Below are 11203 nucleotides of genomic sequence, written 5' to 3'. Positions count from 1 at the left end.
ACTTCCCCATTTAATTATGGTCATAGATAAGCTGCATTGATTTTGTATAAAATCTGTCAGCTTGTGTAAAACACATCTTTTCTCAGTTCTAAAATGATACACATTAAATGCAGAACTTTCAACTTGTAGTTGGGTTGCAAATGATTTTTTTCAGATCCCCTTGTAGAAAGAAGTTGAAACACCAATAATTTACTTGTTTTAGAAATAAGATGAATGTCAGTCATCTTTATTCAACTTTGCATGGTCATTATGCTTTTCTTACTATATGAAATAATAGCTTTTCTTTTCTTTTACAGATTAAAAAAAAGTCCTTTATACCCTTATACTGAATATTGCAACACTTTGGTATTTTCATTTTAACTCTATTGTAAATGGAGAAATTATTAACCTGAAGTAAAGTGATTGAAGTAACCCTGAATAAAAGTTATTCAAAAGCTATTTCAGTGACACAATAGCAATGGATATATACAGCAAATTGACTCTGATACAATGCCAATGATCACATCTTTTCACTCTGAATTAGTGATCATGGATATTTTTAAAAATATGTGTTTGGTGCAAACTTTGCAAATACACATAAAAATACTGGATTTTCTAATCCCTGAAAGAAACTCTCTTCTTTCACCTCTCAGTCGTGTAAGAGTTAACTCTGTTTCCTACAAGGATGCAATCTGTAAGTTAGGTCTGGAAGGCAGCAAAGGCAACCTGGACTTGAAGTTAACACTTCTGTTGTCAAGGGTTACTGATTGGGGGAAGGGAAGGGGCTGTAAAGGGAAAGAGTTACGGAAATGAAGAGGGATTGTAGCACACACTACATAAATTCAAATGCTTTACATGTATTTGGAATAAGATCTCGAGTCTGTTGTATTTTTGCATTGTGTTTTCATTTATTTAGTTTACACATAGGTAGTGAATTTATAGGTTGGTTGATGTTAACCTTATCCAGAGTGGCCCTTTCCAACAATGTTCATTCAGTTGTACATTACATATATGTAATAATTTTGTAATTAAATTGGAATTTATCACAATTATTTACATCAAAGACAATAAAATTATGTTACTTCCTAAATTATAATATCAGTAAATATCGTATCTAGGATTTTGTGGAAAGTCTATGTCATTTTAGTTTAAATAAGGATTTCTCTTTTCCTCCACAAAATTAAAGGTCAAAGAAAACAGCATGTTTAAGACTTCAAATTAATATATATTAAGATTCAGCATTTAATATTCTAATTCTTAAAATAACTGGCTTTACCGATGATGAACTAAAGTGATTTTGCACACTATTACAATATTTCAAATTGCTAGTCACCACAGGTCGGCCTCACTTTAAATCTCCTTGTTATGCCAATTTGCATTACTAATGAACTTGCTAAGAGAGAAACTGTAAAAAGATAATGTAGCAATTAATAGTAAATGCTTGACATACTGTGACATTATAATACCTTTATGTTGATTTATATCTTTATGTCAATATTTACAAGGAAAATATTTTTGAATTTCTAATTTTGCGAAGTAAAAATGATGCTGACGCCATTGTCATTGATGGAATTTTTTCTGTAGCATTTGACTAATATAACCCGTGTTTTATAATTGGTAGACTCATATTTTAGCTTCTACTATCTACTACCCATGTAAGGTATTTTATTTGTAGTAGCTATGAATTGTAAATACAATTGGGTGTTGTGTGTACCTACGTGAAGTGCAGAAGTATTTGATTATATAAAATTTCCTGGATTTATATGAGAATAATGCATAATAGAGAGCAAAAGAGGGTTTTCCTGCCAAAAGTGTCTGTGTGAATTTTCCTTCGAAAATGTTCTTTTAAAATCCTTTGTATGATCAAAGCCACTCCACACAGACAATTAAAAGCAGCTATGGAATGATAGATCACATGACAGGAGTTAAATGTAAGGGTTTTTTTTTTTTTTTTTCCTCCCCCCTCGGTTAAACATCGCAGCAGGCATTACAATACCAGAGGTAACGAATCAATTAAATCCATTTTCCCCTCGGCGTCTCCAAAGCTGCGTGCCTAGTGTTGCTGTGTAGTTTAGACCGGAGCAGTAGGACCCAGGGGCCTCCGCAGCCACCAATAGAAGCGCACACTTGGACCTATTTGTATGCAATGCCTTCTGCTCTGCGCATTAATAGTAATACAGATAACGGGTTTGAAAGAATTCTCTACTGAAGAAGGATTGAATTTTTCCAGGGTGCTGATACAGAGAAGAAACCCGACTTCACTCTCTCCCTATTTCCCCACTCTTAGGTTTAAAAGTCTGTCACCTTTCGCTTGGTTTAAACTCGGAAAGGTCTCAGTGCACAGCAAAGTTGCAGGGCTGCGTCTGCACTACGGAGCCTCTAGATTGCTGAAAACAGTCTTATGGAAGGGTAAGTCTCGGAAATGGTTGCAAGGGAAGTGACAGCTGGCTTTTGATTTGTAAAAGGGGACACGCTGGGTTTTACACTAGTGGTTGTTGGAGTGCAGAATGGTTGCCGAGAGGACTCTGCAGTTTATCCAGAAATTGTGGCTGATGCGCCAGGGTGTTTTGGGGTAGAATCAAAAACCTTCAGGCTAAATCGGAAATTGCAGCCTTGCGATCGGGAGGGATTCAACAAGTTTTCCTGCAGGGATGCGATGTTTGTTTCTTCCTTGCCAGTTGTGCAGAGTGTCCGTTCCAGGTAGGCTGCGGCTGCTTAACAAAGAAGTTTTGGAATTTGTTTGTTGTGTGTGTGGCTGGGCTAACCCTTGTTGGAGTAGGTTTCGTGCCGCTTTTGGCTTCTTGGGGGCACACAGCGGAATTTGCTCTAGGGATGCGGCGAGCATCAGCGGTGTAGTGGGCTGGGGCCGGGCAACTTTGCAGCCTAATCTCAGTGCCGCTGACCGCACCGTTGTTCGTGATGTGAGCTGACTGAGGCATAGACACGGGCAGGCTGCAGGGAGCTTCCAAACTTTGAAAGCATTCTCCAGGAATGGATGCGCGTGGGGGCTTTGAAAATAAGCGTTACTAGGTGGATTTTGGTAAACTCTTGGCGGTATGTAGGCAGTGGGGACTTTTGACACTTGCATTTCCAACCTGCAGGATTTTGCTTGAAAACATGGTGCTGATGTGAAGACGAGAGCTTAAAGCTAAGCCAGCGGGGACTTTGAGGGAGGAAATGAGGGAGGGAAGGAGGAAGAATGAGAGAAGACAGATGAATGAAAAAGGTGCGTCCCATCTTTCACACACAAAAACCACACGAGTGGGACGAACCAGGAAGCGCTCCAGTTGGTGGCGTTTAGCTGGAAAACGTATTGCAGGGAGGTCCAGGAGCCTCTGCATTATTGATGAAACGCCGTGCCCTTCTGGGGCCCCTTCTTGCTCCTTCTCCCTGCCCCATCTTGCCAGCCCCGCTTCCATGAGCCTTCGGTTCCAGCGTTGGCGCGGGTGCGGCTGCGCGCGCGGCTGGGTCCCACAGCTCTGAGAACACAATGGGGAGAAGCAGGCGAGCCCTGCGGGCGGCCGATGCGGAAAACTCGGCGTGGCAACCCCACTGCTGCAGCCTGGGCTGCCGCTCCACCCGGGGCAGCGGCGCTGCAGAGACGGCTTCTGCCCAGTTGCCACGCGCCCTGAGGTCTCGGAGGACCGCGTGGAGGGCGCTCACACCTGGCCGCTAAAATCCTGGGATACCCTTCTAGGAGTCACTGTGTCCCACGCAGATGGGTGGGGTGGGGGAGACGGAATGCTAAGACATCCCACTCCTGCCTCGAGTCGGAGCTCCCACTACTCAAATATCCTTAGTGTGCACCCCAAGCATCTAGAGGACCTGCGCCCCCAAGAAAAAAGGACACGAAGGGGGAAAGAAGGGAAATGTTGATGAGGCTGCAAGAGGGGAAGGAAAACAAGCAATTTAGGGCAATTATGGTCAATGGTCAGGCTTTTCTGGGCTCTTTTAAGTGGATTGATTTAGAGGAGCTTTGAAATGCTGTCCCTGGCCTGTCTGCGGCACTAAAGGGGGCAGATTTCCAGACGCAGGAACTCACTGGAGGCTCCTTCTATAGATGAAGGGAGGAAAGGGCAGGGCAGGAGGCTCATTTCACAGGGTAGTTTAACCCTGACCTCAGCACCTCCCACCCTTTCACGCCCCGCCAAGGAGTGCCCCGACCTTGTAAACTCCTCTGTGTCATCTGCCCTGTGTAAGTGATTTTCATCAAGCTGTGTGTTACAGAGGCCTGTTAAGAGATGGTTGTCTGTTTCCAAGTAGTGGTGGGAGGTTGTTTAATTTGGAGGTTGCTTGTCAACCCGGGCTGAGCGCACAGAGGAAGGAGCGTAGATGCAGGACCCTATAGAATGGGCCACTTGGGGTTGTCAGTTACTTGAAGGCTACACATCAAAGGAAATATACTGATTGAGCACCTGGGGGAAGACAATGCCATTTCATTTTTTCCTCGCTTTCCATGTGCCTCCTTTACTGTGGTTGTTTGGGAACTAGGATATAATAATTACAAAAAAAAGTTGAAAATCCACTGATTTATTTGGAAGCCTCATAACTGGGTTTTCAGGCCCAAACTTGTATTCTCCTAGCAGCTATTATTTTGAAAGCCTCAGTCTGACACCTTAAAACCTGCTTCTCTACTATATCTTGAGGAGGCACTGGTAACTTTCAAAGGCAATCTGTAAGCATGCATCATGTTGATTTTGTTAAAGGGAAGAGGCAGTGTTGGTAGATGTTCCATCAATATTTGCCCTTCCAAAATCGGCCCCCACCCCCCAAAAAAAGGAAGAGGAAGCAGCAGCAGCTCGGAGCAGATATCCAGTTGGTAAGATGACTTTGTTTCTTATGGACCTATACCTCTCCCATGAGGGATAAAAATTAGGATATCTAAGGAGTGGGGGCATTCACCTTATATTGTTGCCACGGTTTTTGGACTTCCTTTAGCCTTTTCGCACATATCTTCCTGCTCCATGCCTCTTCCAATTTAGCCCTGTAGGAGCTGCAGAATTGAAGCACAATGACACAGCTGCAGATCCCTGGTGGAGCCTTGCTTCAGAAAACAGCTGTTAATCACATGTTTGTTGTATTTTCCTATTTACTTCCTTTTACTTCCCTTCGCTTCCCTTAGCCTGTCCTTGAACCAGTGTTACCATCTTCTGGGCTCTACTCTATGAAGGTTAGTGATTTCCAGTGATATAGCACTGAGCTGAGCATGGGAGGAGGGGAGAGACTCAACAGCTGCCTAGGGAGTCCCAAAGGTTTAATGCCAACTTTCTCTTACCCTATACTGCACAAAATAAAGAACAAATACCCTAATATCTCCCCAAAGAGAACTGCATTGTTCTGTATAATTTTCTTTTATCTTATAACATAGTAGAATCAATTCAAATACAAAATAACATTGACCAGAGATGAAAAGGAAGCTATACACTTGTGTGCACTATTTGGAAAGTAGTGTTGTGCTTAGCTATAAAATCTCACTTTTTGGCCTTCATCTATACTTAATACATTAGGAACTACTTTTATTTAAGCAAGATTTAATGTATTACTTTCATTACAAAGCTGAGAAACTCTAGACACCACAAAGATGTGAATTTTAAATGAAAAAAAGCAAGGCAGTAAAGTAAGCCCCTGGCAGCTTGATGAATGAGCAGGTGCAATGCACCATTTGAAATGTATCTTGAGGTGAGCTTCCACCAATCTGCTGGAGAATGAGCTCCTTCTTGCCACCTAAACTCAACTGATTTTCCTCTTTCTGAGACCACAGACAAAAACATGATAGCATACAATAGGCTAGATTATGACCTGGTCACATAATCATTTATCTCTCTAAACTTGCTGTTGAAGTGAGCAATGTTACTGTTAATGTATTCATATTTGTACCTAAAATATATTAGTGCCAATTCTCCTAATTCTATAGGAAATTGAGGTCCTAGAAGGCTAACTGACTAATTCAAAACTACATAGGATAAAACTGTAGAAACAGTGTTAGTCACCGTACCTGCAATAGATATTTCACTTAATCCCCACATAACCCTTTCAAAGTAGGCTTTATTAGATGTCTACAACACATGAAGAGAATGAAGCTCAGAGAGTTTAAGGAAAATAGACATGACTATTCAGCCAAAAAGGGGCAGAGCCAGGATTAAAAACAAGTTCTTTCTCATGACAGAGTACATGCTTTTCTAGTATGTCATACTGCTGCTTTTAAGGGAGCCATTCTCTTCAGTTAACTGGACCTACCTATTTTCCCCCATATTTAAACAAGGAGTTTGATTATTCCTTGAATTTTATTTTAGTACTCATAATTTTTTAATCTCCTTGATATCTTTTTCATGTCCAAAGCATTATCTGCATTTCTCCAAGAGCAAACTTTTACAGTTACTTTCCAAGGATCTCATAAACAGTAAATAACTTTTTCAGAAAATATACCCCACCCCTATCTGCCACCCTGCCTGTATCATCTCTGGGGGTCAGAGCACTTGGGGAAAACTGAGGGGCTTTCCATTTTCTTTGAAATTTGTGCATATGTAGCCAGGATGCCTGCTAAGGATCCAGTACGTCAGTTTCAGCCAGTTGTTCTTTTCTGCCTTTCCATTTCTGCACACGTGTCTTCTCTAATCTGCAAAATTATCTTCTTCATTTGGCCAAACCCTATCCATTTGTCTAGGGTGGTTCATGTTCCTTCTCCACCATAAAATTTTTCTTATTATTCCAACCCTATTGCTGTTCCTTACCTCTGAAATTCCAAGTAATTTCCAATAACATCTGCTGTCTAATTTGGTCTTTATTCAGGGATTAAGAGGAGTAAGCTAACATTTTTTGAGCCTTTACCTTATATACTTTTACATACATTATCCATCAACTATAAATTTCTATTTCTTCATTATATTTCTGCATTTTGCCCTTATTATTTTTTCGCACTCGATAGTCACCCAGATGTTGTGATACATTTCCGGAGTTTCAGTAATGACATTCAAATTTTATATTTCTTGTCCATGCATTGCTCCTGATTGTCATACCTATATTTCCAAAGATCTAATTTCATCTCCACCTAGAAATGCATCACAAGCATTTTAAAGGAAACTGTCCTAAAGGAAAGCATTCAAAGCCACAGGTATCATCCTCCCTGCCACACTTGCTTATCTCTTTAGATTTCCAAGTGGTAAATAGCACATCATGCATCAAGACACATTCCTCTTTGCTATGTCCCTCTGCCTCATTCCCTATGATCATGTAGTGAAAAGAAAAAAAAAATTATGATTTTTCTCTTGAACTTCACCTCTTCTCCTCATGGGCCTGCCCTCCAATTCTTACTTCCACTTCCTGGGATCAGCCATTTGAAGTCATGTGCAACAAGTTTGGCGAGCTATCTGTCAGGGCAAAAATGACAATTTCTAAACTCCTTAGTCATTGAAGGTACTCTGTGATATGAAGCATGAATTCTTCTTTTCAGTCTTCAGAATTATCAATTACTATGAAAATTTACTTGCATTTTCTTAAACACTCAGGATGTTTCATTCCTCTCGGCTTTTGTGTGTGTGTGTGTGTGTGTGTTTGTCCAGAATTCTGCCCCAAATGGTTCTCACTTTCTTATTTTTTTAGCGATGTTTGAAAACACAAAACAAGTGTCACTTCTTCTGTGAAGACCTTCATGTTAAGAAAATAGGTTTAAGTATTCCTCCCTTTCTGATCATTTAATAATGCCTCTGAAATTCCATTGTAATCATTTATTCGTTTCTACTATGAGACTGCGCTATGTTCTGAATGCTGTGTCTTCTCCAAATTCATATGCTGAAATTAAAATTAGGAAGTGGGGCCTTTGGGAGATGACTAGACCATGAAAGCAGAGCCCTCAGGAATGGAATTAGTGCCCTTATAAAAGAGGTCTGAGTAAGCTCTCTTGCCCCTTCCCCCCCGACTAAACATAAGAAGATGGCTGTCTATGAAGCAGAAAGTGGGTCCTCCCCAGACACCAAATCTTCCAGCGCCTTGATATTGGACTTTCCAGCCTCTAAAACTATGAGAAAAGCATTTCTATTGTTTACAAGGCACCTATTCCATAGCACTTTGTTGTAGCACCCTAAAGATACTAAGACAGACTCTAAATTCTGTGAAGCAGTATGTCTCAAACTTTGTCCATTGAACCAAATAAATCTTAAAAGTGAAAAAAGTAGCCCTTAAAACACCAGTCCCAGGATCCCCCATCAGAATTACTACAATAGAATATATGGGGGTGGGGCACTTGAGTCCACATATTAACAGAATCTATTCCAGGTGTAACTAGGAACAGGGAGTTTATCACAACAATTGCTCTCCAATTCAGTCAGATCAATATGGCACTTAATTTAGCATTTGGGGGAGGAGCCATTTGCAAAGCTTTTTAGATCTTATTTTGTGTCTTCCCAGATTACCGTGCTTCAGAGAAAGATTTGCTTAGAGTATAGTAAATTAGATCACATGAGTCACTCTTACTGAAGTACAAGAGTCCTGCATCAGAAAGGCAGATTTGCCAAGAGCAGAATTTCAGTAATCACATGTGAACATGGCATTTAGAGTTGAGGTGCTGCTGTGCAGAGTACTTGGAGCTTTTAATGACTCTGACTTTTTATTATTATGACAAGTTTGATTAGCAGACACAAAAATGAGTGAAACAAGTTCCCTTGAATTACCACCCAGGTTAAGTAATAAAAGATTAAATGTAATATTGAAGTTTTCTGGGTACTCTTCCAGATTGAATCTCCCTTCTAAGAGGTAACCAGTGTGGTAAATTTGCTGTTATTATTTCTATGCATTTTCTCTTGAGTTTACTGTATATATTACATATTTAATTCATATATAGTATTGTCTTAAGTAAATAAAATATTAGCCTAAATTGTCAAATATTGTTTGCATTCTTGGAAATATTTTTTTATGATTAATTCAAGTTGCTTCGGGTACAGTTACTTTATTCATATTCATTGCAATATAGTGTTCTATAAATACTATAAGTATATACATATATTATATTTTTAAATATATTATTATTATATATTTAGTAGGTATGGTAAAAATATATAGTATATTTTATATATAGTACATATATTTCATATATAATATAGTGCATATATATTATAGTATATATACAGTATTAAAATATGTATTATATTTTATGTTTTTCTCTCTCATTTATAGGTATTTTTCTTACTATAACAGACTGTAGCAATTTTTTGGCACATGTCTCACTGTGCACACATACTTTTTAGATATTTGCCTAGAAGTGAAATTGCTGATGACGTGTAATGTGTTTCTTCTCTTTTTTGCCCCCAAACCCATAACAGTACCCTGTAGTATTTGTAATTTGCAAAATTACATAATTTGTAATTATGTTTAGCCAGAATTAAAGACCATTTTTTAAGACAAACTGTATAATCTCTTATACTTGTGAAAGCCCCCATGAATATTTAATAATGTCACATTTTGTAATTTTGCCAGTTGAATGGTTTTAATTTGTCTTTTCTGATTATTAGTGTGGTGAGCATGTTTTCATAGAACATTCAGGTTTTTTTTTTTTGCTGTGAATTGCTTAAACATAATTTTTACCCATTTCTCTAGTGAGACATTTATCTTTTTTCTTATAGATTATACAAATTCTTTATATATCCTGGATTCTATTTTTTTTTTTTTTTTGGTATTGCATTGGAAATATATTTTCCTAGGCTGTTTTATCTTTTTTCTTCTTAATGAAGGAAATAATTTTGTATCGTTTTTTCAAATATGATATACACTGTGCTTTGTTAAAATTGATTACCTTTTATTACATTTTTCCTTTTTCCATCTTGTTTTGGGAAACCAATCTTTATGGTGAAGTCATAAAATACTTCTTATATTTTTTCTGAAAATTTTTCACTTGTGCTTTTTTTTTTTTTTTTTTTTTTTTTTTTTTTTTTTGAGATAGGGTCTCACTGTCTCACCCAGGCTGGAGTGCAGTGGCGCGATCTCGGCTCACTGCAACCTCCGCCTCCTAGGTTCAAGCAATTCTCCTGGCTCAGCCTCCCGAGTAACTGGGACTACAGATGCACACCACCACACCCAGATAATTTTTGTATTTTTAGTAGAGATAGGGTTTCACCTTATTGGCCAGGCTGGACTCAAACTCCTGACCTCAGGTGATCCACCCACCTCAACCTCCCAAAGTGCTGGGATTACAGGCATGAGCCACCACTCCCCGCCTCAGTTTTGCTTTTTACATTCAGGTCTTTTGATCTACCTGGAATTGATTTTTTGTTTTATGTGCTGAAAAATATGACTGCCACTCATAAGTGTTCCATATGTGGGTGGGCTAGCACTGCCATTTGTTTATAAGGCTGGTTGGCATCTGTCCTCATGTGAGACACTTGTTTCTGGTTATTGTCTGTCAGGTTGGTTTGTGGATGGTCATCTCACTGAATCATCACAATGTTAATGAACCAAAGTGAAAAGCATTAATTAAGACTTCAAACAAAATCGGATTATGTTTAGCCAGAATTAAAGACCATTTTTTTAAGACAAACTGTATAATCTCTTTAAATCGTATGTGAATTGCTCATGTTCAATGAGTCCTTAGCTATGCATAGCGTCATTTACTTAGTTTTAGTTCTTTATAGAGTATATTAATGAATCCTGTTTACTAAGGATGAACTTTCCTTGTGTATAGGACTATAGCAAAGGTAAACCTTAGAAATGGACTTCAGTACTTGGAAGGAAGAAGCATGACTCACTGTACGACTGTTGCATGACTGACCATTTGCCAGGTGAATTAGAACCTGGAGACAGAACATTTCAGCACAACAGCCAACAGCTTCTGATCAATGTGTAACCCTTGAATAAGCACTCAAAAATATTAATCCAAGCACAAAATGTTTCGAAAGGAAATTATTCCATCATATTGTATATATTATATTAAATTTTACCCTGGAATGAGGAACTAGGAAGATTGTAAAACAACTTCACTTACTTATACGCAGTCATAGAAAGTATTCTGTAAGAATTTACTTTTTATTCTCCAATTAAAAACCTCATACTAAACAAGCATGCTTTGTGCTAAACAAGTATTGGATTATTTAAATATTGGGTATTAATTTAAGAGAGTGTTAAAAAATGGCCTGGTTTAGCCAATGACAGATGCATAAATTCATAAGCTTACCTAAAATTAATCTCTATACCAAATATAAATTATATTCATACCAATAATTTTGATTTCTTCCAGTTA

General features: G+C 38.7%; 1 protein-coding gene across 10 annotated transcripts in view; it reads left to right on the top strand.

Annotated features, from left to right (window-relative positions):
- ROBO1 (roundabout guidance receptor 1) overlaps nucleotides 2142-11203 on the top strand; it is a 1170760-nt gene continuing 1161698 nt past the window's right edge. For 9 of the 10 annotated variants that reach the window (XM_017006982.2, XM_047448664.1, XM_047448661.1 and 6 more), the window contains exon 1: nucleotides 2142-2388. The gene's annotated coding sequence lies outside the window, so the exon portion shown is untranslated. Of the gene's footprint in view, nucleotides 2680-11203 lie in introns of all 10 variants that reach the window. The other variant, XM_011533977.3, reaches the window with a different exon arrangement.

Source organism: Homo sapiens, chromosome 3 (genome assembly GCF_000001405.40).
Source record: "Homo sapiens chromosome 3, GRCh38.p14 Primary Assembly".
NCBI lineage: Eukaryota > Metazoa > Chordata > Mammalia > Primates > Hominidae > Homo > Homo sapiens.
This window is presented reverse-complemented; position numbering and strand designations above follow the sequence as displayed.